The sequence below is a fragment of the Homo sapiens genome, chromosome 3 (genome assembly GCF_000001405.40).
Source record: "Homo sapiens chromosome 3, GRCh38.p14 Primary Assembly".
NCBI classification, from domain to species: domain Eukaryota; kingdom Metazoa; phylum Chordata; class Mammalia; order Primates; family Hominidae; genus Homo; species Homo sapiens.
Window position 1 is genome coordinate 172811614 of NC_000003.12, and position 17978 is coordinate 172829591.

Here is a 17978-nt window from a genome sequence, read left to right on the forward strand (position 1 = left end):
AAAAAAATGAGAAGCTCCTTTATTAGCATTTGCTAAGGATTTAAATTTCAGGGGCCTTCATTAAAAGAGCATTTCAGCAAAATTAAACACACTTGGAGTTTAGTTTCATTACATATAAAAATGGATACATTTTACATCAAAGAGTAACTTACCAATGTTTAGTTTAATAGTCATGCTATGATTTTTACTGTCTATTAAATTGAAGGATAATATTTGCACATAAGAAAAAAGATCAAATATACAACAGTATACTGCAGTAAAATATGTCTCATACCCCTGTCTGGCTAATCTGTCTTTCTAGGGGTATGACTTTTGATACTTTCTAGAAATATAAGCATAGACATATGTACATTCTTCAAAAATGTATTTCTTTTTTTTTTTTTTTTGGGAGACAAAGTCTTGCTTCTGTTACGCAGGCTGGAGTGCAGTGGCACAATCTTGGCTCACTACAACCTCTACCTCTGGGTTCAAGTGATTCTCGTGCCTCAGCCTCTTGAGTAGCTGGGATTGCAGACGTGCACGACCATGCCCGGCTAATTTTTGTATTTTTAGTAGAGACGGGGTTTCACCGTGTTGGCCAGCCACGCTGGTCTTGAATTTGTGGCTTCAAGTGATCTGCCCCCCTGGGGGCCTATCACAGTGCTGGGATTACAGGTGTGAGCCACCATGTCTGGCCAAAAATGTATTTATTAGATTTATTCCTAAGTAATTTTCTCTTTAGAATGCAGTCATAAATGGATATTTTACCTGTTTCTAAGCTGTTTTGTAAATAGGTGACTCTTTGGTATATGTGTGTTATTTTGTAATCAGTCACAGTTAATAAATTATCACTGTTTTTAATTATTTTCCAGCTAATTTTACTGGATCTTTCAGCTTTCAGTTGAAAAAAAAAGTCATAAGTTTACCAATTGAAAGGAGCATTGATAAGTTACTTTATAGTTTAAAAATAAAACATAACAGAAGAATATACTTTTGATTTTTAATTCATTTTATTTATAATGACATAATTGTACATGTTTTGGGGTAAAGTGTTATGTTTTGTTGCATGTATACATCGTATAATGACCAAATCAGGGTAATTACCATATCACTGTTTTCTTTAAGGAAAATATATTTAAATGTCAAAACATTCTTTTCTGAATTTGCCTCTATATCTTATGGACATAAGAAATTCTATCAAATAGTAGGTTTTTAGTATATATCTGTTGATTGAATGAGATAAAAATTGAAATAAAAATGGAATGAAATCAAAGCACAATTAAGTTCATAAAAGTAAGGATACAACTGAGCTTATCCATATATACAGTAGTATAGGAAATGTGATCCCTCTACTATGAGATATAGGAAATCCTAGTAGTGTAAAACCTTGCAGATATGTGTGGCAGAGCTTGAATCACATTCCTCAGTGCTTTGTTTCTTACAGATTGACATAAGGTATCAAATATTCAGTTGTTTTACAAACGATTACCTAGATAGTTCACAAGAACCAACCAAAAACTATTAGAATTAGTAACAGAGCTTAGTAAGGCAGCCAAATAAAATATAAATGCATAAGTATCAAGAGTTTTCCTTTATGCTGGCAGTAACCAGTTAGAAAGTGTAGGAAATGAAGACCTCTTTTCCAATAAAATTTGATATAAAATATCTGTAAAACATGAAAAAAATATATACCCAACTAATAGTTTAAAGCAATACAGATAAAGATAGCATTATATCAATTGTTTTTACAAATCACATTGTAAAAAAAAATTGAAGGAGACCATTGAGGGCTAGTGAGGCAGGATAGATTCTTTCCTGTTCTGACAGAGTATAGGTTGAAGCAGTATACCCTTTTTCCATCAGGAACTTTTCATATTCTGCTTTTCTACCGCTAGTGTTCTAGTATAGAAAATTACCAACATGTGGTTTAATATTTTCGTATACAAAGACATATACTTTCATTTATTTCTTTTTATTGTGGTAGAATATACATAACATAAAATTTACCAGTTTTAACCATTTTTAAGTATATAGTTCATTGGCATTAAGTATATTCATACTGTTGTGCAATATCACCACCATCTGTTTTTCGAGCTTTTTCATCTTCCTAAACTGGAACTGTGTACCCATTCCACAGTAATTCCCCATTACTGCACTCTAAATGCTCAAAAATAGTGGAATGATTAAATTAATTGTGGTATAATCAGAGATTTGTCAGCTCTTCATTAAGACTAAATCCTTTGAGACAAAAAATTACAGCTAATTGAAAAACATAAGATACAAAACTGAATAATATTCCAGTTTTGTTATGAAGAACATTTTATACGTGTAGAAATATATCTCTTAAGAAATATACCAAAGTGTAGATAGTAATTGATTAGGAGAGTTATGGGTAATTCGTGTTTTCTGAATTTTTCTTAACTCAAAAAGTAACATTAAATTGAAACAATATTGACATTTACAAGTACTATTAACTGATTTGTACAGGATAAGCAACCTAGAGTTATTTAGCAAATTGATCAAGTGGAAAGAGAGGTTCTATAGCAGGCAGAGGGGATGTGGTTGTTCAAATGACAAAATTAGGGAAGCTTTAGAATAACAAAAGCTGTCTATCTATCAGTGGTGGAGAGCTGAAGCAAGCATTATAATTGTTGAGTATAATATTTAACACTTTGTAAAGAGGCTTAACATTTCATTTCAAAGTACTTCTATGCATTATTTTCTTTTAGCCTTATGATTACTATGGGTTAGGTATACTAGATATATTCTACATTTTTAAAATAGAAAAAATTTTCAGAAGAAACAACTTTCACAAGGTTGTTTTTTCTCTGTCACCACAGAATGAATAGTCTTATAGTGCCAGCATAACAAGGCAATTTGGCTATTCATAGCCTAGATTTATAAATTTAAAGTGCAAATTGCTTATAGGACTATACAAAATCATTTTGTCTAACTTGCTTTCTTCTGAAAATCCAACCATAATTTGGGCAAGTAATATTTTTAATTACTTAGAAATTAATTGTCTTGTTTAAGTGGTTCAGTGGTTCTTGGCCTATATGAGGTATTTTTAAAAATTTATTTTTAATTGACACATAACTACATATTTATGGGGCATAATGTGATGTTTTGATACATGTATACATTGTGTGTTGATCAAATCAGGGTATTTAGCATATCCATCACCTAATATACTCATTCCTTTGTGGTGTGAACCTTCAAAATCCACTATTCTGGTTATTTTGAAATATACAATGCAATAATGTATTGTCAACTATAGTCACCACTGTGCAATAGAACAACAGAACTTATTTCTCCTTTCTAACTGTAACTTTGTGCCTGTTGACCAATCTCACTCCAGCTCCCACCCTATCCTGTCCTCCCCAGCATGTCAGCAGTGGCTGACCTCACAGAAGTACACAGTAGACTTGTGGTTATATGAGGTCTTTGATTCCTTTGGGAATGTGATACAAGCTGTGAACCCACTCTTCAGGAATATGCCCTTTGCACGTGTATACACAAAATTTTGCACCCAATTTCTGTTCATTGTCACCCTACCGGCTCTTGATCACAGGTTTAGAACCTCTGATTTAGAATCCTTACAAATGCTGATTGAGGACAAAAGGGTAAAGTAGGAGAAAGTCTAAATCTTAATTTGAGTTTATGTCAAGAACAGTGTTTGTGGTATTGGTTTTGTAGCCAACTTTATACTTCAGCATTAAGTTTAAGTCTGCTAAATTTCTAACTTGTTTCAGAGTTGTTAGATTTTATTTTGAGGTCTATTTCCAATTGCTTTGGTATCCATGACCCTTACAACAAATTACACATTTACTGAATGCTTATTTTTCACTATCCTTAAGTCAGTACATTTCAGGGTAGAAGTTATATCAAGCACATGAAAAGTCTTGAGTAGCTTCATTTATAAATACTCCCATATATAAATATGCTTAAAAGTTTGATTTTTAGAAACAGTTGTGTGTTTTTAAGATAACAAAAAGTATTATTTTTCAATAGGAGAATCTTATTTATACTGCTGATCCAGAATCCTTTGAAGTAAATACAAAAGATATGGACAGTACATTGAGTAGAGCATCAAGAGCAATAAAAAAGACTTCAAAAAAGGTGAGTTTTAGTGAAAGTATTATTTAGCACATCTCTAACATATTTTCCAGACTATATTCAAATAATATTGCTGCAAACACCAGTATAAAGATAGTTTATAAAACAAAGCTGTTCTTCGGTTCTAGGAAATGACCCACAGAAACAATAGTTTTACTTCAGTGACTTCCTTGCCACAGTAACTATAACTTGTTATCCCTCCCGTTACTGTAATAATGATGCTTCTGTGAACTATCCTGCAGTAGAAATGTACTGTTGGTGTTTTAGATTTAAATATGTGTGCACTCATCTTAAATATATCGCCACAGTTATTTTCAGCAAAGGGCACACGGTAGTCAGGGGACCTGACTATCTATTCCTGACTCTAGAAGTCTATTTTAGTCTTCTCGTGATGAAGATAACTTACTTACCTTATCAGAGTTGTTGAGGATTACATAAGTATGTTGATAATAGGCTTTTTTAAAGTAGCACTAGAATTTTAGTGTTCTAAGAGAGATTTACAGCCATATTCTCTACTGCTAGATTTACAAGTTTTGTTTTCTTTCCCTTGGTGGGGGGGCTTTGTATTTTAATAATTTTTGTATCTCCTATCATTTAACATTTATGATGTATAAGAGAAAAACATGTTAGATTATTATTCAAGTGAATTCCTTCACTCTTTCAATAAAGAAATGGAGGTTGAGGGGATTTTTGGATTAGAAATCTCACAACTAGACTGGCTGAATCAGAGAAGAACTTAGGTCTCTTCTCTCCCAGGCTAGATTTCTTTTCTCCTCCTCCTTCCATTGGACTGCAGTGCTCTCTAAATGAAAGTTTAAATAGTCTACAAATTTCCTCACTGTTTTGTGCCAAAGAGATTCTAATCCTGCCACATAGTACAGTAGAAAAACTTTTGCCATATATTTGGCTTTTTTATGTTTAAATATTCTCATCAGCTGTATTGAATTTGTCTAGGTTTAACTAATTGTAACTTAAACTCTAGGTTACAAGAGCATTCTCTTTCTCCAAAACTCCAAAAAGAGCTCTTCGAAGGGCTCTTATGACATCCCACGGCTCAGTGGAGGGAAGAAGTCCTTCCAGCAATGATAAGCATGTAATGAGTCGTCTTTCTAGCACATCATCATTAGCAGTAAGTTATTTTGATTTAATGGGGTAAATGACTTATTTATGAAGTTGTTATGGAATTTGTTAACTTCTAAAAATTGGAAATATTTCTTCCATTTTAAAAAAATTTTAATAATTTTATTTAACCCAGTATGCTAAAATATTATCATTTGAATGCGAATCAATGTAAAATTATCAGTGAGATATTTTCATTCTTTCTTATGTACTAAGTCTTAAAAATGTGGGGTGCACCTTATACTTACAAAGCTGGCTGCATTTCAGACTGGCTGTGTTTCAGGGGTTTCATAGCCACAAGTGGCTAGTGGCTCCTGGAAGGACAGCACAGCTCTGTACACTAGCACTGAAGAATCAGCATGGAAAGCATGATGCTAGGGGAGAGGAGTTCTCCCCTAGTGCACTTTAAACCTTGGCATCCTATCATACGTCATTTTTTAAATATTTATATCCAAACCTCTAACCTCTTTATTGGGTAAAGGCAACTGAGAAAACCCTACTATGAATGAACTAGAGACATACTTAATGTGTAGTTTATTTGATAGGAAATTTTACTGGGATTGAAATATGTTCTAAAATCTCTGAGAAAAGAAACGCGTTTCAATCTGGCCTGTCACTTTACTAATGTAAATAGCTATGATTCTGTTTATACAGATCGGTTCCAATGACATAGCAGAGACCGAGTTTTATTCCTTTTACTATTTTTGTGATGAGTAGAATATAATCTCTGAAACTGTATTTCAGAGGATGATACGAGTTCTAAATTCATGTATATTGTATATATATGTATGTATATTTAAAGTGTTTCCTGAACAATCCAAATTTCCAACAGTTTCAGAATTATTATTAGATATTTAATACTACTATTACTAAGTATTTGAGTGAAATATCTGTTCTTTATAAAATTATTAACCTACTGAAGTTAAGAAAAGCAAGTGACTGTCATTTCTTAGCTGTGTGTCCTGTAGCAAGTTTCTTATTCTCTCAACTGCATTTTTGCAGATGATGTTATATACTGAGGGGCAATTTGGGTGGTGATTAAGAGCATGGACTCTGGAACCCTAGTGTTCAAATCCTTGCTCTGCTATTTACTAGCTGTATGTGTTTTGGCAAGTTATTAACAATCTGTTTCAATTTCGTTGTCTGTAAAGTGAGTCTTAAGTAGTTATAAGGATTAAGCGAGTTATTATATGTAAAGTGCTTAGAACAGTACCTGGCACATTGTGAGTGCTCTTGAGTTTTATAAGTGATTTCTTTTTATTTATAAAATTTCCGCAGGTAAGACACATAAATAATACTCATTAAATATATATTTTAAAGTTGCTTAAAGTCTTCAGTTAACACATCAAAGAGTTATGGCTAAATCTATTAGTGTATTTATACAGGTTTTTCATCAACATTAATCTTAACCAATGGGAGAGAAGCTGCATTTAGTTGATAAAATGAATATATGCAAAGTAGTTTGGCCAATTAAAATTGACAAATGCAGATAAACATTAATTTGTGAAAATTAGATTATAGCTTTCTCGAAGCCACCTGTAGCAACTATTGTAAACATTTTCATCTTTCAAATGAAAATAAATGAATTTTATAGAAAATTTTAGAAAATTAATTTATTTATGGTTATGTCACTTTTAATAGACAGCATATGTAAGAAGCAGCTAAAATACCTTCAAGACATTAATGTCATCTTCTCAATTGCTTGTTTCTGTTCTAACAGATTACCCATTCTGTTTCCACAAGCAATGTAATTGGATTTACTAAGCATGTTTATGTTCAGCGCCTAAACTCTACTGGTGGGCGCTCTCAGTACTCCTGGTTTCAATCTGTACGTCATTCTGCTTTCCGAGCTAGTTTTTCAGAGATACTAGAAGGAAATACTGATTTTTCAAATTTCAAAAAAGTTCTTTCCAAGTCATCTTTGACATTTGTGAAGAATTAGGAGATTTGCCAACCACTAATGGAAACAAGCCTCATGAAGTTTAATGTGAGCTTATTAGCTATTTAAAATTTGTATTTGCGGGAAAAAAAAAAGGAACATATTTTTTCTCCAAGGAATCACTTATTTGGTGGGTGGGAACTTTGGAATTCACAATGTTATGACTGCTTTGAATTAATAACAATTTAGGTTTAATAGAGTTTCTTAAGTCCAGAAAAAATAAGTTCCATTAGAAATTTTCTTATTTAGGAAAATTATCATTTTAAAGAATAGTAATTGTCATGAGTAGTGGATTTATATTCCAAATCTGATTCTTAATGTTAGATTTATAGCATTTATAGAAAATTATGCTTTTAATATGCCAAATCATAAAAGTTCCATGTGAGGAAAGTGTAAACTTTTATATTATACATTCATATCATCATTTTGTTGATACTTGAATGGTTATACTTCATCAACCCAGCTTTTTAAATGCTTCATTTTACAACCTTGTTGATGAGAACTTAAGCCAATTACCTTACTAGCTCTTACAGTTAGCCATTTATATATGTTAAAACAGTAGCCTTATAATTTATTTTGATTTACAGTTATTCTTGAGTCTTTGCATGTTATTTGTTAGAGTTGTTTTATTTTAAAATTTTTAAGACTTCTCAGGGATGTAAAACTTAGCAATTTAATAATCACTGTTATCCAGAAGGATTGCTGTTTCACTCAATTTTTATACGGAACGAAATTTTAAAAATTATTTAAAAATATTTTTTAGAGATGGGGGTCTTGCTAAGTTGCCCAGTCTGGTCTCGAACTCTTGGCCTTAAGCAATCCTCCCACATCAGCCTCCTGAGTAGCTGAGATTACAGTGGAACAAAATTATATATACATATATACACTCTGACACTCACATATGTACATCTGAGTTGTACATATATTACAAACACTCTTTGAGAGTGTATGACTTAATTTTAGAAAATTATTTCCCATGAAGTGATTTCATTCCTTTTAATTCTGCTTTATGAACTAAGAAGAAACCTTGTTTGCCAATTTATAATTTTTTCTTTTATAACCTGAAACACTGAATCATTAATATTTCATAAAACAAAGTTAGGTATCACTACTAGCAATAGGCCAATATCTGTTCAGTTGAGTTAATATCTAGTTAACTAGTCTAGCTATTTGGCTTTGTTCTCAGAATGCTATAATAGTTTTCTTTTTTCTCCCTTTTCCATTCCCCTAACTTTAAAGAGTTTAGAATTGTCAGATGTCTTGTACTTAATTGTTACAGTAATTTGTAAAATGTAAAAATAATAGGCATGATACTGAACTGTATTTTACAATTTTTTTAAAGGAAAATTTAAAATATGAAATGTTTGTTTTGTCTTAACAGGGTATCCCTTCTCCCTCCCTTGTCAGCCTTCCTTCCTTCTTTGAAAGGAGAAGTCATACGTTAAGTAGATCTACAACTCATTTGATATGAAGCGTTACCAAAATCTTAAATTATAGAAATGTATAGACACCTCATACTCAAATAAGAAACTGACTTAAATGGTACTTGTAATTAGCACTTGGTGAAAGCTGGAAGGAAGATAAATAACACTAAACTATGCTATTTGATTTTTCTTCTTGAAAGAGTAAGGTTTACCTGTTACATTTTCAAGTTAATTCATGTAAAAAATGATAGTGATTTTGATGTAATTTATCTCTTGTTTGAATCTGTCATTCAAAGGCCAATAATTTAAGTTGCTATCAGCTGATATTAGTAGCTTTGCAACCCTGATAGAGTAAATAAATTTTATGGGCGGGTGCCAAATACTGCTGTGAATCTATTTGTATAGTATCCATGAATGAATTTATGGAAATAGATATTTGTGCAGCTCAATTTATGCAGAGATTAAATGACATCATAATACTGGATGAAAACTTGCATAGAATTCTGATTAAATAGTGGGTCTGTTTCACATGTGCAGTTTGAAGTATTTAAATAACCACTCCTTTCACAGTTTATTTTCTTCTCAAGCGTTTTCAAGATCTAGCATGTGGATTTTAAAAGATTTGCCCTCATTAACAAGAATAACATTTAAAGGAGATTGTTTCAAAATATTTTTGCAAATTGAGATAAGGACAGAAAGATTGAGAAACATTGTATATTTTGCAAAAACAAGATGTTTGTAGCTGTTTCAGAGAGAGTACGGTATATTTATGGTAATTTTATCCACTAGCAAATCTTGATTTAGTTTGATAGTGTGTGGAATTTTATTTTGAAGGATAAGACCATGGGAAAATTGTGGTAAAGACTGTTTGTACCCTTCATGAAATAATTCTGAAGTTGCCATCAGTTTTACTAATCTTCTGTGAAATGCATAGATATGCGCATGTTCAACTTTTTATTGTGGTCTTATAATTAAATGTAAAATTGAAAATTCATTTGCTGTTTCAAAGTGTGATATCTTTCACAATAGCCTTTTTATAGTCAGTAATTCAGAATAATCAAGTTCATATGGATAAATGCATTTTTATTTCCTATTTCTTTAGGGAGTGCTACAAATGTTTGTCACTTAAATTTCAAGTTTCTGTTTTAATAGTTAACTGACTATAGATTGTTTTCTATGCCATGTATGTGCCACTTCTGAGAGTAGTAAATGACTCTTTGCTACATTTTAAAAGCAATTGTATTAGTAAGAACTTTGTAAATAAATACCTAAAACCCAAGTGTATTTTATGTCTCATGTATTAATTTCTTCAAGGAAATTTTCATAGGCAAATATGAATGCTTGCATCAACATATGCTCTTTTGTGTACTTGCTTGCTTACTTGTTTATTCCTTCCTCCAGTAATATTTTTGATCATTTTATTTTACGAGGCTATCTGTAAGTTAGGAATTTTTAATCTGGAATCTACTTTGAGAAATGTAGATAGTGAATCCTATAATGTTTTATGCAAAATTTTGTGTTTATGTGCATATATGCATTTTTCTGGCAGAAAATACACAATTGTTATTTTTTTGGAGGTGGAACTGTTATTTTCCCCCAAAAGAGTGGGGTTTCCAGAGACAAGAAATGACATGAGATAAGGAATAAAGCTAGAAATGTATTGACTATACACTGGCAAAATATAGCAGGTAGTTAATTTTAATTTGAAAGGGAATGTTTCTGGTTTTTTACTGTTATCTATCTGCCTTAGGTTTTTAGACTATCCTTGTTATCAGATGAAGACAGTTTGCATGTATCATGTGTAAAATTAGGATTCTGTATCATGCATGGATATTAAATATAATTAACTTCTCTATTGAGAAAATCATAATTTAGGTTTTTATTAAGAGCACTTTTAGTTTCTTTAAGGCATTTAGGTCATGCAATAGTGTTTTTTCCAAGAATCCAAGGTTAGTTCAATATCGGAAAATTTATTTACCAATATGACTTACACTGACAAGTTAAAGAAGAAAGACATGTGATTTATCAGTAGGTTCCAAAAGGTTGTTTACAGAATCTTAGCCACTGTTCTTAATAAAAATTCTAAGGGCTTTTGGTACCATGTCTGAGTAAGCTACTACATTTAGAGTGCATGTTCTTCTAACAGAAACATCAAGCATTTCTTTATGAAATATAACCAAGAAATAATTTTCATATATAACTGAGGTTAAAAGAATAATCTGGAAATCCTCAGATATGAGAAATTAAGAACCAAAGCCATAATGCTAAGTGTAGACTGATACCAAAGACTAGTTGAAGGGATTTGAGGCTAATATATAAGCCTTAAAATGCTGGAACGTTGATCCCTGACTCAGCCTAGTTGAAGGTAAGATCTTAGTTAAGAGCAAAAGAGGAAATAAAAAGGCATGAGGAGAGTAAAGAGATGAAGTAAATAGAATGTGTACTCCAGGAACTGGAAATAATAGATCAATCAAAAAGATAATATAAGAAAGAACTCATACTGAATAATAGACATGACTTTTTAAAATAAACAAGCTTGATTGGAAAAAGAATCAAGTTGAACTTCTAGAAGTAAAAATAGAGACCTGGCTGAAGAGAAAACTAGTGACCTAATAGATAAATTTCAGAAAATTACCCTCACAAACCATTGAAAAGTACTAAGAAGTGTTTAAGAGATGTAAAAAATGGGACATGAATATCCAACAACCTATAATAGGATATCTGGAGAGAAAAATTAAAATACTAGAAGGGGGTAGAAAGCAATATTTGAAGAGTTGAGAGTTTTCTAAAAATAGAAAAACATGGAACTTAAAATCAAGCATGCACATTAAGTATTGAGCAAAGTCAATTAAAAAATTCTCACAGAGCGTTATAGTCAGTATAGGAGAAAAATAAATGGAGAGCGCTAACATGTTTATGAATAGAAAGATGTAAAAAGGATGTGAATTTTCATCAATTTAACCAATACACTTAATTTCAACTGAAAGCTTAGTGGATTTTTTTATGGAACAATACAAAATAGGTCAATATAAACAAAGTTAAAAACAGGTCACAGAAAAATGTAACTCAAAACAAAGGATTTACATTTAGAGTGTAAGGAGAACTCCAGTCTCTAAAAACAACCTAATAGAAAAATTCCCAGATGGTTCACAGAAAATTAGAAGTTACCATTAAACATGTAAGACTATCAACCTTAAAAGAGAAAGTTCATTAGAATTACACTAACCTACCATTTTTAATCATTAGAAATCTAAATATTTGACAGTGTTTCTGCTGGTGGGGCTGTAGGTAAATGTACTCTTACGTATGTCTGTTGTGAATATAAAAATGACTGCAACCTCCATGGAGGGAAGTTTAGTACAGGCACACCTCAGATAATACTGCACATTTGGTTGCAGATCACCACAATAAAGCAGCTATCTCAATAAAGTGAGTCACATGAATTTTTGGTTTCCCATTGCATATGAAAGTTATGTTTACACTATACGTAGACTATTAAGTGCAATAGCATTATGTCTAAAAAAACAATGTTCATACCTTAATTTAAAAATACATGATTGCTTACAAAAAAAAAGTTAAAGATCATCAGAGGCTTCAGTGGGTCGTAATCTTTTCTGGTGGAGGATCTTTAAAATATTTTTTATTTCTAATTATGGATACATAATATTTGTATTATGTATATTTGTATATTGATGGGTCCGTGTGATACATATTTTTCTTTCTAAAACTTCTAAGTTTTTCTCTTTTTTTTTTTTTTTTGAGACAATCTCACTCTGTCTCCACAGCTTCATATTCACCACTTATATTCTTTATGTTCCTTCCGCTGCTTTTCTTGAACCTCCTGAACAAGTTACCTTTGCCTTAAGGTTCTGAAAGAACTATCTAGCAGCAAAGGCTTATCCTTGTTCAAAAACAATTGCAGGCTTAACTAAATTAGTTGAGGCATCTTTAGATATTGTAGTAAGCTCACCTTTAAATCTGATGGTACCACGTGTATTAGTCTTTTCTTGCACTGCTATAAATACCTGAGACTGGATAATTTATAAAGAAAAGAGATTTAATTGGCTCCCAGTTCTGCATGGCTGCACAGGAAGCATGGTGGCTGCTTAGCTTCTGGGGAGGCCTCAGGAAATTTACAATCATGGCAGAAGGTGAAGGGGAAGCCAGCACTTCAGATGGCCAGAAGCAGGAGGGAGGGAGAGAGACGGGGAAGGTGCTACACACTTGTAAACAATCAGATCTCATGAGAACTCTTATGAGAACAGCACCAGGGGGATGGTGCTAAAGCATTCATGAGAAACTCACCATGATCCAATTACCTCCCACCAGGCCCTACCTCCAGCATTGGGGTTTACATTTCAACATGAGATTTGGGCGGGGACACAGATCCAAACCATATCAATATGCAATACACTTTTCTCTCCCCTTCTTACAGAAAAATTGGCATATAATAATTACTGTTCTACAATCTTGCTTTTATCACTTCAAAATATATTCTGGAAATCACTCTATATCTGTATATAAGTTCTTCATTTCTTTTTACAATTGCAGAGTACTCCACTGTGTGAGTGGACTCTATTTTATTCACCCAATCCCCTATTGATGAACATTAGTTTCTAGTGTTCTACTACCACAATGATGTTGCAAGTTTTATGAATAGGTCATTTTGTATTTCTGTTAGCATAATTTGCAAAACAAACAAAAAAACTACATGTGGGATTACTAGGTCAAAAGATCAGTATATAATTTTGGTAGATATTATGGGCATATTTTGTTTTATTGCACTTAGCAGATAGTGTGCTTTTGATAGACTAGAGATTTGTAGCAATGCTGCATTGAGCAAGTCTATTAGCACAGTGTTTCCAACAGCATGTGTTGACCTCATGTGTCTGTGTCACATTTTTGTAATTCTTGCAATATTTTATACTTTTTCATTATTATAACTTTTGGTGATCTGTGATCAGTCATCTTTGATGTTATTATTGTAATTGTTCTGGGGCACCACAAACTGCACCCATCTAAGACTGAAAACTTTATCGGTAATTGTTGTGTGTGTCCTGACTGCTCCACTGAACAGCTGTTCTCCAGTCTCTCCCTCTGCTTGGATCTCCCTAACTCCTGAGACACAATATTGAAATTAGACTAATTAATAATTAATCCTACAATGGCCTCTAAAAAATCAAAAGCTAGGAATTACTAAACTTAGTGAGGGAGGCATGTTGAAAACAGAGATAGACTGAAAGCAAGGCCCCTTGTGCTAATAGCCGAGTTGTGAATGCAAAAAGAGTTACTGAAGGAAATTACAAGTGCTATTCCATTGAACATGTGAATGATAAGAAAGTGAAACAGACTTATTGCTGATACGAAGAAAGTTTGAATGGTCTAGAGAGAAGATCAAACTAGCCACAACAGTCCCTTAAGCCAAAGCCTAATCCAGAGTAAATCCTTAACTCTCTTTCAATTCTATGAAGGCTGAGAGAGATAAGGAAGCTGCAGAAGCCTGAAGCTAGCAGAGGTTGGTTCATGAGGAAAGAAATGGTCTCCAAAACATAAAAGTGCAATGTGAAGCAGCAAATGCTGATAGGGAAGCTGCAGCAAGTTATCTAGAAGAGCTGGCTAAGATAACTGAAGAAGGTGGCTATGCTTAATAACAGATTTTCAATGTAGATGAAACAGCCTTCTGTTGGAAGAAAACGCCATCTAAGACTTTCTTTTTTTCTTTGAGATGGAGTTTCACTCATTGCCCAAGCTGGAGTGCAATGGCGCGATCTCGGCTCACTGCAACCTCTGCCTCCTGAGTTCAAGCAATTCCACTGCCTCAGCCTCCCAAGTAGCTGGGATTACAGGCACGCCCCGCCACGCCCTGCTAATTTTTTGTATTTTTAGTAGGGATGGGGTTTCACCATGTTAGCCAGGCTGGTCTCGAACTCCTGACCTCAGGTCATCCGCCCACCTCGGCCTCCCAAAGTGCTGGGATTACAGGTGTGAGCCACCTCGCCCGGTCAATCTAAGACTTTCATAGCTAGACAGAAGTCAATGCCTGTCTTCAGTGCTTCAAAGACAGGCTGACTCTTTTGTTAGGGGCTAATACAGCTGGTAACTTGAAGCTATGTTTATTGACCATTCTGAAAATCCTAGGGCCATTAAGATTATCCTAAATAGACTTTGCTTGTGCTCTATAAATGGAATAACAAAGCCTGAATGACAGCACATCTTTTTATAGCATGGTTGACTATTTTGAGCCCACCCATGAGACTCTTGAGTGCTTTCTTGAGATGGAATCTATTCCTGATGAAGGTGCTGTGAACACTGTTGAAATGACAAAGGATTTAGAATATTACAGAAACTTAGTTGATAATGCAGAGGCAGGATTTGAGAGGACTGACCCCAACTTTGAAAGAAGTTCTGCTAGGGGTAAAATGCTATCAACAGCACTGCATGCTACAGAGAAATCTTTCATGAGAGGAAGTCAACTACTGTGGCCAACTTCATTGTTGCCTTATTTTAAGAAATTGCCACTGCCTCCCAACCTTCAGCAACCACCAGCCTGATCAGTCAGCAGCCATCAACATTGAGGTAAGACCCTCCACCAAAAATAGACAAATGGGATCACATCAAGCTAAAAGGCATCTTTACAGCAAAGGAAACAATCAACAAAGTGAAGAGACAGTCACAGAATGGAAAAATATTTGCAAACTACCCATCTGCCAAGGAATTAATAATCAGAATATATAATGAGCTTAAGTAATTCAATAGGAAAAAAGATCCAATTTTAAAATAGGTGAAAGATTTGAATAGACGTGTTTCAAAAGAAGACATACAAATGGCCAACACATATATGAATAAATGCTCAACATCACTAATCAAAGAAATGTACATCGAAACTACAATGAGACATCATCTCACCCCAGTAAAGATAGCTTTTATAAAAAGAACAAGCACCGAGGGATGTTTGTTCGAGAACATAAAGGGTGACCCTTGTATATTGTTGATGGGAATGTGCGTACAACCACTGGAGAACAGTATAAAGTTTCCTCAAAAAAGCTAAAAATGGAACTATCATATGATCCAGCAATCCCACTGCTGGGTATATATTTAAAAGAAAGGAAATTAGTATATCAAAGAGATGTCTGCACTCCCATGTTTACTGTAGCACTATTCACAATAGCCAAGATATGGAATCAACCTAAGTGTCCATCAACAGATGAATGGATAAAGAAAACGTGGTATATATACACAATGGAGTACTATTCAGCTGTAAAAAAGAATAAAACTCTCATTTGCAACCACATGGATGGAACTGGAGGACATGTTAAGTCAAATAAGCTAGGCACAAAAAGGCTAATATTGCATGTTCTCACTCATATGTGGGAGCTGAAAATTAAAAGTTGAACACATGGAGATAGAGTAGAGTGACGGTTACCAGAGGCTGGGAAGGGTAGTGGGGAAGGAGGTATAAAGAGGGGTTGGTCAATGGGTACAAAGATACAGTTAGATAGAAGGAAAAAGATGTATTGTTCAGCAGCACAATAGGTTGACTATAGGTAACAATAAACGTTAAAACGTAAAAAGTTTCAGGAGGTTTGAGTTTGAATAAACTATTTTGGCTTACTTTGAAAGAGGCCATTTTGGGATTGGTGTTTTGTTTTGAGGCCTAGACATCAATCAAAGCTGACCATTGAATGCTTGGTATTTTGTCTTTCCACTTTTTTAAGAGTTCCTTTTAAGCATATTATTGTTGACATTTTAAAAGTCCCATCATGGCTTAGGAAAAAACCAATACTCTTATTATTCAAAGATGATATGATTGCTTAGATAGAAAATTATAAATAATCTGGAGAAAACTTAGATTAAATTCTGAAACAAAATCAATATACAAATAGATACCAGCCACAAACAAGTAAAAATACCTTTTCCTAAAAGATACTTGTTACAATAGCATTAAAACCATTGAAATACTTAAGAATAAGTCTAATAAAAGATACACAAAATCCCTACAGAGAAGACTGTGGAACTTTATTTACAATAATTAAAGAAGACCTTAATTGATATGATTGTCAGGATTGGATGCCTCAGTGTTGAAAAATACCAGTTTTCCCCAAACTGAACAAATTCAAATAAGGCAAATAAAAATACCAACAGGCTGTGTGTGTGTGTGTGTGGCTGTGTCTGTGTGTGTGCATAAAACGTGACTAATTGTTTCTAAATTTATGTGGAAATACAAAGGGTCAAGAATAATGAATATGGTTACAGAAGTGAAAGAATCTGTTTAATCAGATACAAGGTTTATTATAGAGCTGTAGTAATCAAAACAGTGCAGTGCTGGAAGTCTTGGTGTATTAAACCAAGCCGACAGCATTATCATTGTAAAATAGTGGGTGAAAAACAGCCTATTCAATAAATGGTGCTGAGAAAAACTGGTATCTTTTTTTTTTTTTTTTTAGAAACGTTGTGTTTAATGGTAAAGCTTAGTACACCCCAGCACCAGGAATGGCATGGAGTCGCAGCAGCAGGGACGGACAGGTGGCCCCCATGGAGCCTCACGTGGCGAAGAGGATGAGGAAGGTGACCATCAAACAGAAGAACCCCCCATGGCCTCAGACAGGCCAACGCCCAGAATGGCATAGGAGAAGAGCTACTGCCTGAGAGATGAGTGCCTGAGAGACGAGTGCCTGAGAGACGGGTTCCTGGCATAGCCAATGATCAAGCTGCCAAACACAATTCCAATGCCAGTCCCTGAACCAGCCACACCAACTGTGGCTGCCTCAGCACCAATAAATTGGTTGCTGTGTCAATGTCCCAGGAGACAACACTGGTCTGGAACTCCTGTCTGGCCACCTGGAGTGGGGAGCTGCTGTGGGAAGGCTGTTTAGATGAACTCTCTGGGCTATTCAAGAAGGAGGCAGACACAGGCCTGGTTAGACACCTGGTGCAACAGTGGATCTGAGCCGGAGAAATGAACAGTGCCCCAGTGGTCTGCATTTTTTCAGTCTCCCAGCTTTAGCCCTTGGTCTCGGCGCCCAGCCAAAAATTGGTATCTTTATTTTAAAAAAGAAATAAAATCTCTTCTTCACATTTTATGCAGATTTGAATTAAAAGAGAATTATAGATTTAAATATGAAAGGTAAAACTATGAAGATTTTACTAGATAATATAGGAGAGTATCTTAATCTGTCTGGGGTTAGAAAAGATTACTTACACATTTTTCCAAAAGTTAATTATAGAAGGCATGATTGATGTCTACATTAAAATTAAGAACTTCCAGTCATGAAAAGACATCATTAAAAGACAAAGTCACAGAGTAGATGTTCACAATACATGTAAATGACAAAAGGACTCATATCCAGACTATATAAAAAACTAAAAAAAAAAAAAGTCAGACATTCCTATAGAAAAACAGG

The 17978-nt window shown here is 33.9% G+C and overlaps 1 protein-coding gene and 1 pseudogene across 48 annotated transcripts in view, besides 1 other annotated feature; one reads left to right on the forward strand and one right to left on the reverse strand.

The window, feature by feature from the left end:
• The window catches only part of ECT2 (epithelial cell transforming 2), a 78540-nt gene extending 60888 nt beyond the window's left edge, over positions 1 to 17652 (forward strand). For 22 of the 48 annotated variants that reach the window (NM_001349098.2, XM_047447624.1, NM_001258316.2 and 19 more), the window contains 3 exons: positions 3991 to 4098; positions 5078 to 5224; positions 8535 to 9861. In NM_001349098.2, the coding sequence (NP_001336027.1) occupies positions 3991 to 4098; positions 5078 to 5224; positions 8535 to 8624 (345 nt within the window). In that variant the 3' untranslated portion in view covers positions 8625 to 9861. Of the gene's footprint in view, positions 1 to 3990; positions 4099 to 5077; positions 5225 to 6934; positions 7202 to 8534; positions 9862 to 17021 lie in introns of those variants that run through there. The other 26 variants (XM_047447607.1, XM_047447612.1, XM_047447614.1 and 23 more) reach the window with 3 other exon arrangements.
• Positions 13633 to 13833: a silencer, noted in NCBI's record as "peak4925 fragment used in MPRA reporter construct". NCBI's record gives its function as "represses an SCP1 promoter by STARR-seq MPRAs in K562 erythroleukemia cells {active_cell/tissue: K562}" and the evidence as "EXISTENCE:reporter gene assay evidence [ECO:0000049][PMID:32103011]".
• On the reverse strand, positions 17015 to 17602 carry ATP5MC1P4 (ATP synthase membrane subunit c locus 1 pseudogene 4; annotated as a pseudogene).